Source organism: Homo sapiens, chromosome X (assembly GCF_000001405.40).
Source record: "Homo sapiens chromosome X, GRCh38.p14 Primary Assembly".
NCBI classification, from domain to species: Eukaryota; Metazoa; Chordata; class Mammalia; order Primates; family Hominidae; genus Homo; species Homo sapiens.
In genome coordinates, this window is record NC_000023.11 from 74,316,640 (window position 1) to 74,337,868 (window position 21,229).

Here is a 21,229-nt window from a genome sequence, read left to right on the forward strand (position 1 = left end):
GTGGAGATTGCAGTGAACTGAGATCGGGCCACTGCACTCCAGCCTTGGTGACAGAACAAAACTCTATCTCAAAAAAGAAGAAGAAGAAGGGCCACGCACGGTGGCTCATGTCTATAATCCCAGCACTTTGGGAGGCCGAGGCAGCGGATCATCTGAGGTCGGGAGTTCGAGATCAGCCTGACCAACATGGAGAAATCCCATCTCTACTAAAAATACAAAATTAGCCGGGCATGGTGGTGCATGCCTGTAATCCCAGCTACTCGGGAGGCTGAGGCAGGAGCATCGCCTGAACCCGGGAGGCAGAGGTTGCGGTGAGCCAAGATCGTGCCATTGCACTCTAGCCTGGGCAACAAGAGCAAAACTCAGTCAAGAAGGAAAGGAAAGGAGAGGAGAGGAGAGGGGAGGGGAGGGGAGGGGAGGGGAGCCGGGCGCGGTGGCACACGCCTCTAATCCCAGCACTTTGGGAGGCCGAGGCGGGCAGATCACCTGAGGTCAGGAGTTCAAGACCAGCCTGGCCAACATGGTGAAACACCATCTCTACTAAAATACAAAAATTAGCCGGGCATGGTAGCGGGCACCTGTAATCCCAGCTACTCGAGAGGCTGAGGCAGGAGAATTGCTTGAACCCAGGACGCGGAGGTTGCAGTGAGCCGAGATTGCGCCGTTGCACTCCAGCCTGGGGGACAAGAACGAGAGTTTGTCTCAAAAAAAAAAAAAAAAAAAAAAGAAAGAAAAGAGAAAGAAAAGAAAAGAAAGAAGAAACTATTGCAAGAGAGGAAAACCTCAATATGGAACTGGGCTCAATTCTGAATAGTGAGGAGGAGCTGAATACTGAATTCTGAGGGACTGGGAATTTCTAGTCAAGGAGCAGAGTACTGGCAGGTGCAGCCAGGGGGTACAATTGATGGATGGAAAATTACTAAGAGACATCAAGGATAAGGGAGGATTCTTGCTAGATTAACCAAACAGGATTCTTTCTGAGAGCAGACTAGGGTGATCAGATATTAAGAATGAGGGGATTCTTTTTAAACTGACGTTGCCAGACACAGTGGCTCACACCTGTAATCCCAGTACTTTGGGAGGCCAAGGTGGGTGGATCACTTGAGGTCAGCAGTTCCAGACCAGACTGGCCAACATGGTAAAACCCCATCTCTATGTTTTTTTTTTTTTTTTTTTTTTTTTTTTTTTTTTGAGACGGAGTCTTGCTCTGTCACCAGCCTGGAGTGCAGTGGCGCAATCTTAGCTCACTGCAACCTTCACCTCCCAGGCTCAAGCAATTCTCCTGCCTCAGCCTCCCGAGTAGCTAGGACTACAGGCACGCACCACCATGCCCAGTTAATTTTTGTTTTTTGTTTTTTTTCAGTAGAGACACGGTTTCACCATGTTGGCTAGTATGGTCTCGATCTCTTGACCTTGTGATCTGCCCACCTCAGCCTCCCAGAGTGCTGGGGTTATAAGCATGAGCCACCGTGCCCAACCCCTGGCTCTAATAAAATACAAAAATTATGGCCAGCTGCAGTGATTCACGCCTGTAATCCCAGCACTTTGAGAAGCCGAGATAGGCAGATCACGAGGTCAGGAGTTCGAGACCAGCCTGGCCAACATAGTGAAATCCTTGCCTCTACTAAAAATACAAAAATTAGCCAGGCACGGTGACACACGCCTGTAGTCCCAGTTACTCAGGAGGCTGAGGCAGGAGAATTGCTTGAACCTGGGAGGCGGAGGTTGTGATGAGCCAAGATCACGCCATTGCACTCCAGCCTGGGAAACAGAGCAAGACTCTGTCTCAAAAAAAAAAAAGCCCACAAAAATTAGCTGGGTGGGGTGGCACGCACCTGTAGTCACAGCTACTTGGGAGGCTGAGGAAGGAGAATTGCTTCAACCTGGAAGGTGGAGGTTGCAGTGAGCCGAGATCACGCCACTGCACTCCAGCCTGGGCAACAGAGCAAGACTCCGTCTCAAAAAAAAAAAATTAGCTGGGTGTAGTGGCATGCACCTGTCATCTGAGCTACTGGGGAGACTGAGGCAGAAGAATCACTTGAACCCAGGAGGTGGAGGTTGCAGTGAGCCGAGATCATGTCACTGCACTCCAGCCTGGGCTATAAGAGTGAAACTCTATCTCAAATAAATAAATAAATAAATAAACTGACTTAACAAGATTATTGCAAATCGGGGCTATGCAGGTCTGGCAAGGATGAGGCCAAGGTCCAGGTGCAATCAGGAAGAGGACTTAGAAGAGCCTGACTAAAATGTGATGCAAGACAGATTCGTTGCCAATGCTACCATGCCTGTGCCTTCTCCCTTATCCAAAGTCTGATGGGGTGGGGCTTGGTCGGGGAAAGAGAAGGGAGGTGGAACCCTCACCCCCAAAGGACTGGAGACCCACTGTTTTCCATGGGCACTGGCCTCTTGCCTGGGCTAGCAGCCAAGAGCAAAAACCCCCAGGTGGATGAAGAGTCAGTGGTGGGGGTGGGGGTTATGCTGGGGACCAGAGGGCCCATCTACTTTTTTTTTTTTTTTTTTCTTTTTGAGACGGAGTCTCACACTGATGCCCAGGCTGGAGTGCAGTGGCACGATCTCCACTCACTGCAACCTCTGCCTCCCGGGTTTGAGCGATTCTCCTGCCTCTGCTTCCCGAGTAGCTGGGATTACAGGTGCCCACCACCATGCCTGGCTAATTTTTTGTATTTTTGGTAGAGACAGGGTTTCACTATGTTGGCCAGGCTGGTCTTGAACTTCTGACCTTGTGATCTGCCCAGCCTCGGCCTCCGAAAGTGCTGAGATTACAGGCATGAGCCACTGCACCTGGCCCCATCTGCTCTTTTGAGAAAACATACAGCTCCTCAATAGCTCAGGATTTACAAACCAGCCTTTGAAACAGGAAGACCCAGAAACCTGAACAATGGAACTGACCAGGCAGCTAAAATAAGGAATTTCCTTAGTATTTCCTTGAAAGTGTACTCAACCAATGGGTTCTTCCTGCCCATTGCACAGACAAAACCAATTCACTGAGATCATGTTATTATAGTAGAGAAAGAAGCTTTATTAATACAAGGTCAGCCATGCAGAAGACAGAGTTATTACTCAAATCAGTCTTCCGAAAGGCTCAGAGGTTAGGGTTTTCAGGGATAGTTTGGTGGACAGGGGACTAGGGAATGCATGCTACTGACTGATTTGGAATGCAATCATAGAGGTGTGGAAAACTATGATCATGTGCTGAGACTGCCTCTGGTTGAGGGGCGTGCATGGGATCAGTTGGGTCATGAGTCTTGAGTCCGCCTCTGGGTGGGGTCAGTTGTTGGTTGTCAGAATGCAAAAGTCTGAAAAATATCTCAGAAGACCAATCTTAGGTTCTACAATAGTGATGTTATCCACAGGAGTAATTGAAGAAGTTACAAATCTTGTGACCTCCAGAACAATGGCTGGTTATTGTCTAACTATACCCTACATCTTAGCAGAATTCAGGCTCCTCTCATAATCCTAACCTGTGACCTTTCATTAGTCTTACAAAGGCTGCTTAGTTTTGGAAAAGGCTATTATCATCCTTGCTTTAAGGTTAAACCATAAACTAAATTCCTCCCAAAGTTAGCTTGGCCTATGCCCAGAAGTGACCAAGGACTACTTGGAGGTTAGAAGCAAGATGGACTCAACTATGTCAGATTTCTCTTACTGTCATCATTTTTGCAAAGGTGGTTTCAAAAAGTCCACTTAAACTTCTCTGCATGTCACTGAACACATTAAATGTAGAATCTACAGGACGTTTTCTCATTCGTTCCCCCTTCCGTCCAGTGTCATCCCCCACCACCACCCCCATACATAGGAGAAGACCAGCAAGGATGTACAAAAGGGGCAGCCTTGCTCAGGGACCTTTATGTTCATTGTCAAGGTCAATGGAAGCTAAATCACAGACACTGGTTTGAAGAAGGTAACATTTTGGCCCTCTGCATCAGCAAGGAAGAGAAGAAAACTTTTTGCAGAACAATTGATTAAAATTGTGCCATTATCTGAGGCCCAACAGCCCACACTTTACATCCCCACAGACAGCAAGAGAAGGGGCACCCAGTTTCAATATGCAATTTCTGCTTGGAAAAAACACCAAAGCGTCAACCATGACCTTTGGGGTACCAACTCCAAAACCTTGAGAACCAAAAATAAAAAACTTTGAGAACCCCTAGCCTAAAGAAGGATAGCCTCAGCTCTCCTCCAAGCCCCAGAAGCTGCCCAATTCTCGCTGAGATGACAAAAAGTGCCTGAAGGTCATCCACATCCTCAACCTTCCTTGTCTGTCCTGAAGAGGGAGACCAATTTCTCCCTAAGGCTACCTTCTCCAAGAAACCAGAACTGACCCCTCCAGAAATGGACACAGCCAGTGATACGGAAGGGAAGTGCTGGAAAGGGAAGATCGTAGTCCCTTTAAATGATACAGAAGAGGGTAAGGGCAGGGTCTCTGGCTAGGACTCCATCCCCGGGCCTGTGCCCACAGATCTATGTGAGGACAGGCATTTTTGTTTTCCTGCCCAAATGTTGAATTTCCCAACACCTCCCCTGGCCTGCCACGCCCCCATCCTGTGCCTTTAAGAACCCCCAGATCCTAGCACACACACATACAAGCTGCTGGACGTCCAGAGAAGCAAATCGCAGAAGACACAGGCGGCTGGACGAGGAGCACATCAGCGGAGGAACACATGGGCGGCTGGACGTCGAGAGGAACACACGGGCGGCTGGACGTCGAGAGGAACACACGGGCGGCTGGACGTCGAGAGGAACGCACCAACAGGCACCGGCGCCGCAAGCCCAGACCAGCAGAGCAACGCGCGGAGTTTGGCCGGGACACTCAGAGGAGAGCCCAGGCCACTGAGCGGCCCGACTCCAGGGGAAAACCCTCCCACTCCATCCCCTTCTGGCTTCCCTCATCTGCTGAGAGCCACCTCCACTCAATAAACTTTGCACTCATTCTCCAAACCCAGGTGTGATTCGATTCTTCCAATACACCAAGGCAAGAACCCAGGATACAGAGAGTCCTCTGTCCTTGTGACAAGGTAGAGGATCTAATTGAGCTTCACCAGGACACAGCCTGCAGCACAGGACCATTCCTGAGCCCATGAGATGGGCTGTTCTGGGTTCCCACAGTCCCCTGGCTTACTTTAGCCTGGGGTAGCTCCCTGGATTGGAATCCTCTCTTGAGCATCTGCCCCCTGCCTAGCTGGGCTGCAAGTTCCTGAGAGACAGGGTTGGGACCATGTCCTTCTTGTTTACTGTTTGATGCCCGGTAACTCAGTCACTATTTGTTGAATACATGAAGCTGCTGGGAGACTCGTGGCCCCTGGGTGGGGTGGTCAGGTTAGAGTCCCATCTCAGGTACCTGGTAGTCAGATATGCTTCTAATCTCTTCTCTTTGGGGTGTGTTCGTGTGTGTGTGTTTTTGTGTGTGTTTTCTGTCTTCCCCGAGGAGGACCCAGGAGCTCCCTGAGGATGTCTTTCATAAACTGGTTTTAGTTCATGCCCCAACTCTGCTCCTTAGGTGACTGGCTCTCCTCTTCACCATCCCCACCCCTGCTCAGGAAAGATCCCTCCTGAGGGGTCCCAGTTGTTCCCTTCCCTAGCTCTGTGTTTCCTGGGGAAAGTTCCTGCTTCCTTATCTGGAAGACCGGGCAGTTGGGCTCCTTGAAGAGCAAGGAGCCCGTCGGTTCCATGATCTCTCTTCTACCTGTGGCCTAAACACTGCCCCCTCCTGAACACCTTGGAGATTGGGAGCAGGGACTTGGCGGGGGTCTAGACCCCACTCTCCCACCATGGTGGCTTGAGTTGTGGTGATGAAAATGCCTGTTGCCTGCCCAGGCACTTCTGGGACAATAAACATGCTTATCTAGACAAGGGCCTCGGCCAGAGGAAACAAGGCTCAGAGACAGAAGCAAAAAGGCAGGAAGATCTTCCTGACAGTAAAGGTAATTAAGATCAGAAACCATTTACCAAGGAATGTATGGGTCTCCTTTTCCTGGAGATTATAGAAACCTGGAAGCTAATGGGCCCCCAGAGAGCAGCTGGTCCAGCCCCTTCATTGTATAGATAAGAAAACTGAGTCCCACAAAAGAAGGTCCCTGCCCAGGGTCACAGAGCTGCATAATGTAAGAGCAGAGACCAAGACCTGATGCTAGGACTCTCTGGCCAGATCAGTTTCCATTACTCCAAGCTGAGAGGCCTCCTTCAACCACAGGACAGCCTGGCTGATTTTCTCGAGTATCTTTGCTGTACAGATGAGAACTTCTTGTCCCCAGAGGGTAAAAGGCCTATGGGAGGGAGAGGTGAGGCCAAAGCCCCTGTCCTCAGGATGCTCAGGCCCAGGATGTTGCCTGGACACTCCCTTGCCCCTGCTGAGGACAAGAGGGACACTGTCACTCTGGCATTGCTGATGGCTGGCTCCCTGGCTAGGATCTGTGATCTCTCCCCGGAGACTTCCCTGTACTTGCAGTGCACCCTCCCCTGCCACACACGCACACACAGAAGGCCCCTCACTCAGGCAGTCAGCACCTCTTTGGGGAGCTGCTTCCAAAAGTTCTGGATGAGGCTCACCGGGGGTGTGGGGCACAGATATTTAGGAATAAAAGTTTCTTCTGGGTGAGGGGGAGACTGAGGTACATGCACCCAAGGGCAGTCACCTGGGAGGAGAGAAATGGGCCAGGGAGATCACAGAAGGTGGGCTTGCACTGGTTTTGACAGATCCTGGGTAGGACCTGGACTAGTACAAGGGTGGGGGCAGCAGTGGTGGAGGCCTTTACTGCCCCCTTCCTAAAGGCTTCCCTCACCTTTCTGGAGGTAGGGCAGGTAAGGGTGTCAAAGTGTGGTCATCATGGCACACATAGGAGTTTGGACTCCTGATATGAGTTAACAACCTGACCCAGTCCCTCGGTAGCTGGGTGACACTGAGTTCTTCTTTTCACTGTCTTGAATCTCAGTCTCATCTCAAAATTTGGGAACTAGCAATACCTTCTGTAACTCTAAGTGGAGCTCACAGGGGTCTCAGGAAGAGTCTGCAGGTCCATGGTTTCCAGAACAATCCTAGTTCCTTGTAATTTCATGATATTCCTGAAGAGGAACTCATAGATTAATGTGTGGACTTTATTTACATCCTGACTACAAAAAGTGGAAAAAACACCATAACATAAACCCTCCATAACATTGATGAGACATGAGACATTTAAAGTTTGGACATTCCCTGGGTATTTGACGATATTATGGAATGATTACTAATTACTTTAAGTGTTATAATAACACTGTAGTTATGCTAAAAGGGGTTCTTATCTTTCAGAGCTCCATATTGAAATACTTATGCATCCAATGATGTGTGACTGGCCAGGTGCTGATAATCGCTGAAGCTGGATGCTGTGTACAGGAGGGGTCACTATGTCCTTCCACTTGTGTATAGACTTGAAATTTTCCATAACGACAAGTTTTAAATATGAAATAGTGAAGTGTGGAGCAGTTTACCTAACTGTGGCATATCTGTCCTTTGGAAGACTTTTCAAATAGACATAACGCTGGCAAATGTAAGAAAAGCCTTGTATGCAATGTGTGAGCACCAGTGGTATTGCCGATGGGTGCTTGTGACTGGAGACAGCAACTGCACCCTCTCATTTCAGCCCCTCATTGAACAGCGTCTGTGCTGCTCCTCTCAGCCTATGGCAGCTGGTTTGGTTGCCAGGCAATGGAAGGCAGAGACCAGAAGACCTTTTCTTGGGAGGAAGAAAGGGGAGAGGGAGGGGAGAAGCAAGAAAGAAGCTCACAGCCCGAAGGCTTGCTCCCTCCTGAGAGTCTGGCCCAGGGCTGGGGGAATGGGAATGGGGGTAAAGTCCTCACAACCCCTACTTTCCGTGGTTTACTCCTGGTGGACAGCCCCACTTTCAGAGCTTGAAGCCCCAGAGAGACGGAGAGGGAATGCACGCACCTGCACCTCCTGTGAAGGTCAGAGAAATCTGTGACTAAGGAAGATGCCAATTAGCACCAGTCCACAGAGTTAGAGCTCTGGACAGACCTCTCCTGGGTACTTCTAAACTCTTGTTATTTCAAAAATTCTAGGAAAGCAGCTCGTCAAATGGAAAAATCTGCATTGGCGATCACCCTGAGCTCGGGCCATCCCAGAAGGCAAGATGGCTGGGGTCTTCTTAGGCAGTGGAGAAATGTGTTCTTGGTGTCCTTTGGGGAGGGGAAGCAGAAGCCTCTGGCACTGCACGGTGGGCTGGCAGTCTCATGGATGCTGACTATGTTGGGGAGCCCCACGTTCTGGCATTGCTTCAGAATCAGCTGTCACCGAAGGGCTGTGTGGGCCCGAGCCAGTCCTTACTCTCAGTTTCCTGATCTCTAGGAGGGAATGATATGGTCTCTCTTCACTCTCAAATGTACTGGATTATGACACACTCCCCCACCTACATCCTGGGCAGGAATCGCTCTCACCCAGGGTTATAGGAGCCTGTGTGGCACACCCTACTCTCACCCACCAGGCCAGACTGAAGAAACCAACATAGCTGGTTACCTCTCTCCCTCTTAAGTGGGGGCACTTCCCAGAGCCACCAAGTTGTGATCATGAGCTGCCTCCTGGTGGCCTGGGAGGTGAGATTCAGAGGGGCTCCAGGCAGGCAGGTTGGGGGTGAGGTCAGCAGCTGCCCCAGAGATCAGCTTTTCAAGAACAGGCATCTGAGACAGAGTGTCTGTGCTGGATGAGGAAAATATTGGGAAGGCCAGCTGTCTATAGCTGAGCAAGAGCAGGGTCCAGACAGCCCCCTCTTTCTGCAGCATCTTTGTGGCTCCTGGTTGCTAGGAGCAGGTGCTTCTGTTACTAAGCAACAGGAGCCTGTTGGATGAAAACCAATTTCCTGAGCTCTCTAAAAGGGGGAGGGAGAGGAGGTGGAATACAGATGGTCTAGGGAATATCAGGTTTGCCCTCAAGCTTAACTGGAGGTTGGGGGTGGAGGGTGAATATGCACCAGGTACTTAGTATAAAGACTGAGAGACAGACTGGCAATTAAGATGCTGATTAGAGCAGTAAAGAATGCTAATGCTGCTCCTTTGCAAAACCCCAGGAAAGGCCTCTGGTCCCTGGGGGTGTTTCTGAACTCTTATTATGTCAAAAATCCTAGGAATCACCTGACTTGGCTAGACAAAACTGAGCAGAGTTCCTTCTCCAAATACAGAGGATCAATGCATTTTAGGGTCAATGGGCCCCCAAGTGTCCTGGAGTTTAACCACTGGCTGAATGACAAAGGACCCTCCGTCTCTGCTTAGATATTCTCTTTGATGACCGGGTGCTTACTTCCTCCTGAGGCAGGCCTTTCTGTATCTCCGCCCCGCACCCCTCCCCCCCCAAACCCCCCCGCCCCGCCCCGGCCCCTGAGCAGGCGGAGTCTCGCTCTTGTCACCCAGACTGGAGTGCAGTGGCGTGATCTTGGCTCACTGCAACCTCCGCCTCCCGGGTTCAAGCAATTCTCCTGCCTCAGCCTCCCAAGTAGCTGGGATTACAGGCACGAACCCAGCTAATTTTTGTACTTTTAGTAGAAATGGGGTTTCACCATGTTGGCCAGGCTGGTCTCGAGCTTCTTACCTCGTGATCCGCCCGCCTTGGCCTCCCAAAGTGATGGGTTACAGGCGTAAGCCACTGCGCCCAGCCCCTTTCTGTTTCTTATCAGTAGAAAGTACTTTTTTCTGTGGAATCCAAGTCAGTCTCCTTGTGGCTCCTTCCTGCAAGGGGCATAGGGAGGAAGGAGCGAGTAAGGGGAGGAGGGCAGCTACTCCAATCTGCTTTGCTATAGAGATCTGTAACCTCTACTTTCTGTGACCCCCTAACCCCCATCACTAGCCACCTCTCAGGGGACAGCCCTCACCACAGTTTGCAGGCCTCTGATCCCCTACTTTCCACTTGGTCTTTATGTGCATAGGGATATATTGTAATCTCCTTAAAGAGTGAACTGCTACTTTTGATGAATTTGCAGAGTCCAGGACACAATTCTTGTCTCAGACTTCTTTCACTGCCCTGCTCAGACAGGGACCTCCTGGCTCAAGACCATGTCAGTGGACAGGTGTTTCTCCTTCTAGTGGGGTTTCTGTTTTCAGGAGGACCGGCTGGGTCAGGAGGAGAAGGCAAGGGGTCCTCTCCATGCTAAGTATTGGTCTTTGATCCTGAAGGTCTTCAGGTCTTGGATCCTGATTTCTGAGCAGGACTCTTCCCTGCTCTTGTGCCTGTCTAGGCTTTGGCAAGCTCAGCCCAGGTGGCAGACCACTTTCCCTCTGCACGTACCCCACAGTGATCAAGGATACATTCAGTTTGGCTGAACAAACATTTTATATTTTTCTATAACACTTTCTATGATTTAACATATGTTTTACCTTTTTGTTTTGGTTCTTTTCCTTCCAACTATGACACAATGTCCATGAGGGATGAGATATTTCTGTGTTTTGTTAATTGCTGTATTTCAGTGTGTAGAACAAGTGTGGCGCCTAGTAGGTGCTCAAGAAATATATGTTGAATAATGAATATATGCTTACATATGTAAATAAGCTTTTTATATTGTTGGGACTCAGAAAAAAATTACCCCAAATGAAGGCCTCAGGTGCTGGGAAAACTGGCTATCCATATGCAAAAGAATGAAACTGAACCTCTATCTCTCGCCATATACAAAAATCAAATCAAAATGGATTAAAGACTTAACTGTAAGACCTCAAACTATGAAACTACTTAAAAAAAAAAGCCACTGGGGCCGGGCACGATGGCTCACGCCTGTAATCCCAGCACTTTGGAGGCCAAGGCGGGTGGATCATCTGAGATCAGGAGTTCAAGATCAGCCTGGCCAATATGGTGCGATCACATCTCTACCAAAAATCCAAAAATTAGCTGGGTATGTGTGGTGGCAGACACCTGTAATCCCAGCTACTCCGGAGGCTGAGGCAGGAGAATCACCTGAATCTGGGAGACGGAGATCTCAATGAGCAGAGATTGCACCATTGCACTCCAGCCTGGGCGACATGAGCGAGACTCCTTCTCAAAAACAAAACAAAACAAACACAAACAAACCAACAAAAAACCATTGGAGAACTCTCTGGAACATTGGACTGGGTAAAGATTTCTTTTCTGTTTTTGTTTGAAACGGAATCTCGCTCTGTCGCCCAGGCTGGAGTGCAGTGGCAGGATCTCGGCTCACTGCAACCTCCGCCTCCCGGGTTCAAGCGTTTCTCCTGCCTCAGCCTCCCGAGTAGCTGGGAGTTCAGGCGCATGCCACCACATCTGGCTAATTTTTTGTATTTTTAGTAGAGACGGGGTTTCACCTTATTAGCCAGGAAGGTCTAATATTTGATAGCACAACAGGGTGACTGTAGTCAACAATAATTTCATTGTACATTTTAAAACAATTAAAAGAGTATAATTGCATTGTTTCTAACACAAAGGATAATGCTTGACGTGATAGACACCACATTTATCCTGATATGACTATTATATATTGTATGCCTGTATCAAAATATCTCATGTACCTCATAAATATACACACCTACTATGTACCCGCAAAAATTAAAAATTAAAAAAAAAAACAAGCAAACAAAATGAAAGCCTCAGAAAGAGCCTCAGAAACAAAGTTTCTCTCTGACCTTCTCCTGCTCTCTTGTCTCTCACCTCTCATTCTCCCCCACGGCTAGCCACAGAAACTAAAATCCCTGTTCCCCATGGGGGGTCATAGAAACCAGAACCCCTTTTCCCCAGTGCCAGCCATAAAACCTTTTCATCTATCTTGTTTTGTAAAGACTGGTCATAAAGAAATTATCTGACCTGTCTTTATTTATTTATTTATTTATTTTGAGACTGACTCTCACTCTGTTGCCCAGGCTGGCGTGCAGTGGCATGATCTCGGCTCACTGCAACCTCTGCCTCCCAGGTTCAAGCAATTCTCATGCCTCAGTCTCCTGGGTAACTGGGACTACAGGCATGAGCCACCACGCCAAGCTAATTTTTTTTTTTTTTTTTTGAGACTGACTCTCACTGTGTTGCCCAGGCTGGAATGCAATGGCACGATCTTGGCTCACTGCAACCTCCACCTCCCAGGTTGAAGCGATTCTCCTGCCTCAGCCTCCTGAGTAGCTGGGATTATAGGCAAGAGCCACTACGCCCGGCTAATTTTTTTGTATTTTAGTAGAGACAGGGTTTCACCATGTTGGTCAGGCTTGTCTCAAACTCCTGACCTCAAGTGATCTGACCGCCTCGCCCTCCCAAAGTGCAAGATTGCAGGCGTGAGCCACGTGCCCGGCCGCTAATTTTTTTTGTTTTGTTGTTGTTGGCCAGCTGGTCTTGAACTCCTGACCTCAGGTGATCCACCCACCTCAGCCTCCCAAAGTGTTGGGATTACAGATGTGAGCCACCATCTCCGGCCCGATCTACCTTTTTGAGTGTAGGTGACAAGACCCCCATTCCAGAGAGGGTCCTGTCCTATACCCATAAAGAAGGTATGCTGCATAAAGAGGCCAAGAATAAGCTGAATGGACAGGGCTTGCTTGGTGTCCCCTGCCTCTCCTCAGTCTATTACTATTAGCTCACATCATTTTGGCCAATCATATTTCTACATGGCTGTCCATGCTTCATTATACCTAAGGATAAAAATATACTGTTTACCCTGGGTCTTTGGATCTGCAAGCTGATGGCTCCTGTGTCACATAAAACTGTAATCAAATAAACTTGTTATGCTTTTCTCTTGTTAACCTGTCTTTTGTTATAGAAGTGTCTGCTGTGACCCTTACGATGGGGATTAAAGGTATCACACCCTTTCTGCTCCTGCAGTATACTTATATGGCATGATATCCAGGCCAAATTTCTGACTGAAAGAAACAAGGTACAAAACAGTATGTATTATATGGTACCTTTTGGGTGAGAGGACAAAAGAGAACTATATAAGAGAGAGATTTATTTTTGTAACTGCACAGGATATCATTGGGAAGATAAACCAGAAACTGATAATAATGGTTGACTCAAGGAAGGAAAGTTAGATGGCTGAAGGACAGGCATAGAATACATACTTTTCATGATGTACCTTTTGTTGCCTTTTGAATTTTGTACCATTATCATGTATTACTTTTAAAAACATTTTTATTAAAAATGTAAGGCTTAGAAAGAACTGAAAAACTGCAGAAATAAAAGGCAACTCACTGTATCATCTCCAGAAACTCCAGGCACTACTATTTGTGAATCTGCTTCTCAGACACTAGTCATATGGACCTATGTTATATGCCCCCTCAACTGCCATTCTTCTAGGCAGCCTATATTTAATTATCACTGATAACTTATAACTTGCCACTACTATCAAGTTGTTATGCTAAAACAGACAAGTTCACATTATATGCAAAACATGTCCAGCCACATTAGTTTCAATCAGCAAGACCTCATTCCATCATTCTTTCTTATAAAAAGCTTAATAACCTTTTCCCCGTCTGCAACATGATATGTCTATCTTCGTGTCTATCAACAAGATATGTCTATCTTTGGTGAGATAAGTCCTCTCATTCACTGCTCTCGGGAGTGTAAATTAGTAAAGTTTTTTCAGAAGATGGTGTATCAATATGTACTAAAGCTTAAAAATATTCATCTTCATGAGCATCCACTTCTAGATAGCCTAAAGAAAATATTAGAAATGTGCATCATGTTTTATGCATAAAGATATTTGTCATGGGCCGTGCATGGTGGCTCACGCCTGTAAACCCAGCACTTTGGGAGGCCGAGGCAGGTGGATCACCTGAGGTCAAGAGTTTGAGACCAGCCTGATCAATATGATGAAACCCTGTCTCTACTAAAAATACAAAAATTAGCCAGGTGTGGTGGTGTGCGACTGTAGTCCCAGCTACTTGGGAGACTGAGACAGGAGAATTGCTTGAACCCAGGAGGCGGAAGTTGCAGTAAGCTGAGATGGCACCACTGCACTCCAGCCTGGGCGACACAGTGAGATTCCATCTCAAAAAAAAAAAAAAAAAAGAAAGATATTTATCATGGTGTTGCTTATAATGGGAAAATATTTGAAATCATGTAAATGTCTAACAAGAGGAAAATAGTTTTAAAATAAATTGTGACATGATATTCTATCATGGAGCCATTAGAAAAAAAATCAACTTTTGTGGGAAACTGAATTTAAGCTAACCTTACTGAGGAATGTTGAAGGATGTGGTTAAGCATATGCACTATTAAAGAAAAGCAGAGCCAAACAGTAAAGTAGTAAAAACAGATTTTATTCAGAAGTTACTGCAGTAGGAAAATAAGACCTTGATATAGAACTGGGCTCAGTTCTGAATAAAGAAAAAGTAGGGTTTATAACCAACATGCAGGGTAGGGGGAGTCACTTGGTATTTGTAAATATTTTTTTTTTTTGAAACGGAGTCTCGCTCTGTTGCCCAGGCTAGAGTGCAGTGGCATGATCTCACCTCACTGCAACCTCCACCTCCCAGGTTCAAGCTATTCTCCTGCCGCAGCCTCCTGAGTAGCTGGGACTACAGGTGCCTGCCACCATGCCCGGCTAACTTTTTGTATTTTTAGTAGAGATAGGGTTTCACCACATTGGCCAGGCTGTTCTTGAACTCCTGACCTTGTGATCCGCCCGCCTTGGCCTCCCAAAGTGCTGGGATTACAGGCGTGAGCCACCACGTTGAGCCTGTAAAATTACTAAGTGGAGACATCAAGGGTAGAGGGAATTCTTGCTAAACTAACCTAACACATTTCTTGTTGAAGGTAGGCCATGGCGATCAGATATCAAGGTGTATGTGTTGGGGGGATTCTCTTTAAATTGAATAAGCAGGATTCTTGCTAAAATTGGGCAATGCAGGCCCAAAAAGGATAGACACTGAAGTCCAAGGTCAAGGACTACTTGACAAGAGGGCTTAGAGGAGACCAACTAAAGTTTGGTCAAGGAGAGTTTCATTGTCATTCCCTCCTCTTGTTTAAATAAATAAGATACATTTTCTTTACTTTGAATAATATAAATCCATTTTGTTCATTCAGGACTAGCTGAACCATCTGCTCAGAACTGGTAGTAGAGGGTATTTGCTGGGTGGTCTAAATCATCATTCAAACAAGGGGGATTTCTCCGGGAAAAAGAAGGAAAACAGGGCAGGAGCAGTGGCTCACGCCTGTCATCCCATCACTTTGGGAGGCTGAGGCAGGCAGATCACCTGAGGACAGGAGTTTGAAACCAGCCTTGACCAACGTGGTGAAACCCCGTCTCTACTAAAAATACAAAAATTAGTTGGGCGTCTGGCATCCGCCTGTAATCCGAGCTACTAGGGGGACTGAGGCAGGAGAATCGCTTGAACCCAGGAGGCAGAGGTTGCAGTGAGCTGAGATCTCGCCATTGCACTCCAGCCTGGGCAACAACAGGAGAACTCCATCTCAAAAAAAAAAAAAAAAAAAGAAGAAGAAGAAGAAGGAAAACAAAGACTAATGGTTGGAACAGATACTAAACCCAGTTTCTGCGTCCAGAGTACAGCAAGTTAAGATTTCTAGATGTTGGTCTCAAAACATCTTTAGATTATGGAGTGAGGATAGCAGTGGCAATTTGATGAATTTCCTGGTTTGCAGTTTGAATGTCTTTGGTGATAGCATACATATCAGTGTCACAGTCATGGTTATTTCCTAGAAAAGAGCATGGATGCATCCAGCTTTAGCTTGCGAGGCTTCTTTAAATAGTCTCAATGAAGATCTAGGCATTCAAGTTTTAGTTCTCAGTCATGCCAAATCAGGAGAATAGGGGAAAAAATGGACATGTTAATTTGGAGAATTGTAATCAGATGTTGGTGAAAACTGGAATTGATAATTTGGTAACAACTAACAAAATGTGTGATAATGGTAGGATCCAGTCTAATTTATGGAAGATAAAAATGTAGAAAGTAAAATGGAGTTTAACAAGAGGTTAAAAAAAAAAACATAGCTCAAGGACAATGAACAGGACTATAATAACCCACAAGAGTGTGCTATAGTTTTCCATTGAAACATAAAATTTCCCTCTATAGTCACCCCACTTCTGTTTCTTGTTTACAAAATAAGTCTGATCTCATGAGATTTGGCCATATTATTCACATAAATGAAGCAAGAATTGTAACTCACCACATAGGTCTTTTTTGGTTTGTCTTGCTGAAACTTTTAATAAGAAATCTTGGAATGGACTTTTAAAAGCTTCTTAAGGCTATGAAGCCAAGCTAAGATCTTGCCATTAGACTTCACCTGCAATACCTACAGATTTGGGTAAATTCTTCCTTCTTGAGGTCTCCAAAATATCCTGAGGTTCCTAGACATGCCAGAAAGTGAATTTCCTTACTCACCTGAAAGTCTGGGAACCTTGTAAGCCAGGTAGCATGCTGATTTTTCCAAGAGGGCTTTGTAGGCATTGGTTTCATAAAGTCAACCTTAGTTCCTTAAAACAACTTGACCATAAGTTAATTCTATGCACATCATTCTCAAATATGAGATTCCAATAAAAGTTTTGATAATATAACCAATGTTTCCAATTGTGTCTTGTTACAAGGAGAACAGATTCTTGCTGAATTTATGCGAATAACTATATTGCCATGAACATAAAAACATTCACTAAGAGTTTCTGAATTCTGGGGGATCAGGTAGGGAGAAGTAATTGTTTCATCTTTGTTCACAAAGGTATACTTTACCAAATTGCTGTAAGTTATAGATAGCTTAAAAGAAAAGACTTTCTTTAAATCTGGAAAACAAAACATTCAACTGGCAATGTTTCAAACAAAAAGTCATTAAAAATGATAATCATCGGCCAGGCGCTGTGGCTCACGCCTGTAATCCCAGCACTTTGGGAGGCCAAGGCGGGCGGATCACAAGGTCAAGAGATCAAGACCATCCTGGCCAACATGGTGAAACCCCGTCTCTACTAAAAATACAAAAATTAGCTGGGCATGGTGGCGCATGCCTGTAGTCTCAGCTACTTGGGAGGCTGAGGCAGGAGAATCGCTTGAAACCGGGAGGCGGAGGTTGCAGTGAGCTGAGATGGCACCACTGCACTCCAGCCTGGTGACAGAGTGAGACTCCGTCTCAAAAAAAAAAAAAAAAGATAATCACCCTCATCAGCTAATTCAGTTTCATGTAATTAATTATTGTTCTGCTTAATCTTGGGTTAGCAGTTTTACAAATCCATCAAGTTCTTCATTCGTTCTGGAAATTCTTACTCAATGGAATGGCATGGTCTCAAATTATCAGAGGTTTATATTTCAGAGTACCTGTCTTTCTCATGAGCTTCTTTGAAGATGAAGCATTTGTTCTATAATGCATTCACAGAAGAATCAAAGTAAAGTAAAAACTATCTGTGATGACAAAAGACTTAAAATAGTCAAAGTTAAAGATCTGATGAGAGTTCACTTGATAAGCAAATTTAGTTATTTCTGTGGCATACAACATTTTAACATAAAAACTGGAATTGTGACTGATAACATAATTATGCTGGACATATAATAAAGAGCAAGGGTATTGACAAATTTCTATGAACTTCATACAATTTCTGAAACATTTATATTACTAACAGGTACCCATACAAATATAATATAAAGAAGGTTAAACACCATTAAAAAATTTTTAAATATTTTTATTTGACAATGCTTTCCATGTAATTTAACATATCAATAGCCTAATTAGTTTAATATTCTTTTTATTTTTATTTTTTATGAGAATGACTTTTTATTTTTATTTATTTATTTATTTTTTGAGACCGAGCCTCGCTCTGTCGCCCAGGCTGGAGTGCAGTGGTGCCATCTTGCCTCACTGCAAGCTCCGCCTCCTGCGTTCATGTCATTCTTCTGCCTTAGCCTCCCGAGTAGCTGGGACTGCAGGTGCCTGCCACCACGCCAGGCTAATTTTGTTTTTGTATTTTTAGTAGAGATGGGGTTTCACCGTGTTAGCCAGGATGGTCTCCATCTCCTGACCTTGTGGTCCGCCCTCCTCAGCCTCCCAAAGTGCTGGGATTACAGACGTGAGCCACTGCGCCTGCCCTTATTTTTATTATTTTTGAGACAGGGTCTCACTATGTTGCTCAAGCTGGAGTGCAGTGGTATGATCATGGCTCACTGTAGCCTCAACCTCCTGGGCTCAAGTGATCGTCCCACCTCAGTCTCCTGAGTAGCTGTGACTACAGGCATTCGCCACCATACTTGGCTAATTTTTTAAATGTTTGTGGAGACAGGGTCTCCCTATGTTACCCAGGCTGGTCTCAAACTCCTGGGCTCAAGAGATCCTCCTGCCTTGGCCACCCAAAGTGCTGGGGATTACAGGCATGAGCCACCGTGCCCAGCCAATATCTCTCTTTTTATAAGGAGAGAGAGTAAGTCTTTAGAGATTTTTCAGAGGCCCTCTGGAATATACCAAATTTAGTTGGAGGTCAAAAAGACTTCATTTAAAATTTGATTTTTGGAAGTTTGTCAAAAATATTAAAAGGTTTGAATGCTTGATTAAATAGGATCACAGATCACTATAAAACAATACCTAGTTATCTATTTGAGTGTCAAAAAATATTTTAAAGGGCCAGGCGCTGTGGCTCACGCCTGTAATTCCAGCACTTTGGGAGGCCGAGGTGGGTGGATCACCTGAGGTCAGGAGCTCGAGACCAGCCTGGCCAACATGGTGAAACCCCGTTTCTACTAAAAATACAAAAACTAGCTGGGCGTGGTGGCACATGCCTATAATCCCAGCTACTCGGGAGGCTGAGGCAGGAGAATCACTTGAAACCGGGAGGCAGAGGTTGCATGAGTGGAGATCGTGCCATTGTACTCCAGCCTGGGCAACAAGAGCGAAACTCTGTCTCAAAAAAAAAAAAATCACACATGTATAATATACATATACCGATACACAAAAACATATATGTAGACACAGAGATCTCTGTGATTTTCATTTTAAAATTTTAGTCATAAATCAGTAAAGCATATTAATATAAATTCACTAGTTTATATAAAATAGCTAGTATTCATTTTTTTCTCCACTTTATATTTTTATCTGAATTATGTTTTTTTTTTGGCAAGTGGGACAAATTAAGATTACCTGTTTACCAATATTTGTGGGGAAGATTTTTAAGATTTCCATCTTCCTCAATAAGTCATCTTATGGAGGCTGTGGACTAAATTTTAGGTGAGTGAATGAAGAGGCATCTAGCAGCTGTCAGGATGTTTCCAAAGTCCATCTGAATAGATAAAATTTCAAGTTTATTTCCAATTAAGGTTTTTTCTTTTTAGCTTTATGAAGTTGCTTTTTGAGGACCCTGGGTTGACTAAGAGCAGGGACAGGGCGGGGAGGTAAAGTTCAGGTGACTGAGCAGCTAGGAGAAAGTTCTGGCAGAGGTAGACAGAGAACAAGGTGAGATAGGAGTTTGAAGGGGGATATATTAAAAAACTGAAGGGAGCTGAATGGAAGTTCAAAGGTGGCAAAAGGAGGATGAAGAAGGAAAAGCAATAGGAAAGAAGAGGTCTTAAATGACTAGTTTGGAGAGATCCTAAGTTTTCCAAAAGGCCAATGAAGTTCCAAATTATCCTCAGTAAAATCAAACCCACAAGAAAAACAGGTGGACAGAGTTGGTGAAGCATACAGTCAGTAGGAGTTCAAGAAGGGGGTTTCAGCCAACTAAGAAGTTCCCATGGGAAGAATAGGATCAAATAGAACATAGAGAACTTAAAAAAAAACAGCTCCTAACAGGCTCAAAATGTAAGTTTCCAATTAGGCCAACTTCTGACCATACAAATCATTTTACTGTAAGTATAAGGGCTACTTTTGGGCTCTCTATTCTACTCCGTTGGTCTATATGTCTGTCTTTATGCCAGTACCACACTGTTTTGATTACTGTAGCTTTGTAGTAAGTTTTGACATCAGAAAGTGTGAGTCCTCTAGCTTTGTTCTTTTTCAAGATTGTTTTGGCTATTTGAGGTCCCTTGAGATTCCATGTAAATTTAGGATGGGTTTTTCTATTTCTGCAACAACTGTCTTTGCAATTTTGCTATAGATTGCATTGAATCTATAGATTTCTTTGGATTGTATTAAAATTGTAACAGTATTAAATCTTCTTATACGCTGGGCATGGTAGCTCAGGCCTGTAATCCCAGCACTTTGGGAGGCTGAGGCAGGAAGATCGCTTGAGTCCAGGAGTTTGTGACCAGCCTGGGCAACATAGGGAGATCTATCTCTACAAAACATACAAAAATTAGCCAGGCATAGTGGTGCACTCCTGTAGTTCCAGCTACTCAAGAAGCTGAGGTGAGAGGATCACTTGAACCTGGGAGGTCAAGGCTGCAGTAAACCATGATCATGCTCCTCTTGCTCTGGGAGAAGGAGCGAGACTCTGTCAAAAAAAAAAAAAAAAAAGCCTATCTTCTAACCCATGAACGTGGGATGTGTTTCCATTTGTTTATGTCTTTAATTTCTTCCAGCAATGTTTCATAGTTTTCATCATACAAGTCTTTTACCTCCTTACTTAATTTCTAAGTATTTCATTCTTTTTGGTGTTATTGTAAATGCAATTTTTTTTCTTTTTTTGAGACAGAGTCTCATTCTGTCTCGCCCAGGCTGGAGTGCAGTGGCATGATCTCAGCTTACTGCAGCCTCTGCCTCCCGGGTTCAAGCGATTTTCCTGTCTCAGCCTCCTGAGTAGCTGGGACTACAGGCATGTGCCACCACAGCTGGCTAATTTTGTGTTTTTAGTAGAGATGGGGCTTCACACCATTGTGTTTACATACCACATTATGTTTATCCATTCAGCTATTGATGGACACTTTGGTTGATTCCATATCTTGGCCACTGTGAATAAACAATCTTGGCTGCAATAAATATGGGAATACAGATATTTCTTTGATATTCCTTTCCTTTGGATATATACCCAATAGTGGCATTACTGGATCATATGTTAGTTCTATTTTTAGTTCTTTGAGGAACCTCCAAACTGTTTTCCATAATGGTTGTGCTAATTTATATTCCCACCAACAATGTATGAGTTCCCTTTTCTCTGCATCCTCATCGACATTTGTTATTCTTTTTTTCTTTTTGATAATAGCCATTCTAACTAGGGTGAGATGATAACTCATTGTAGTTTTGATCTCCATTTCCCTGTTGATTAGTGATGTTGAACATTTTTTCATGTACTTGTTGGTCATTTGCATGTCTTCTTTTGAGAAATGTCTATTCAGATTATTTGCCATTTTTAAAATCAGAGATTTATTTATTTATTTATTTATT

At 45.1% G+C, this 21,229-nt stretch overlaps 2 annotated features.

Moving 5' to 3' along the window:
- Nucleotides 8,355-9,120: an enhancer, noted in NCBI's record as "OCT4-NANOG-H3K27ac-H3K4me1 hESC enhancer chrX:73544829-73545594 (GRCh37/hg19 assembly coordinates)". NCBI's record gives its function as "activates a minimal SCP1, AML or CMV promoter by ChIP-STARR-seq in naive and primed H9 embryonic stem cells {active_cell/tissue: H9 hESC(naive and primed)}" and the evidence as "EXISTENCE:reporter gene assay evidence [ECO:0000049][PMID:30033119]".
- Nucleotides 9,121-9,887: an enhancer, noted in NCBI's record as "OCT4-NANOG-H3K27ac hESC enhancer chrX:73545595-73546361 (GRCh37/hg19 assembly coordinates)". NCBI's record gives its function as "activates a minimal SCP1, AML or CMV promoter by ChIP-STARR-seq in naive and primed H9 embryonic stem cells {active_cell/tissue: H9 hESC(naive and primed)}" and the evidence as "EXISTENCE:reporter gene assay evidence [ECO:0000049][PMID:30033119]".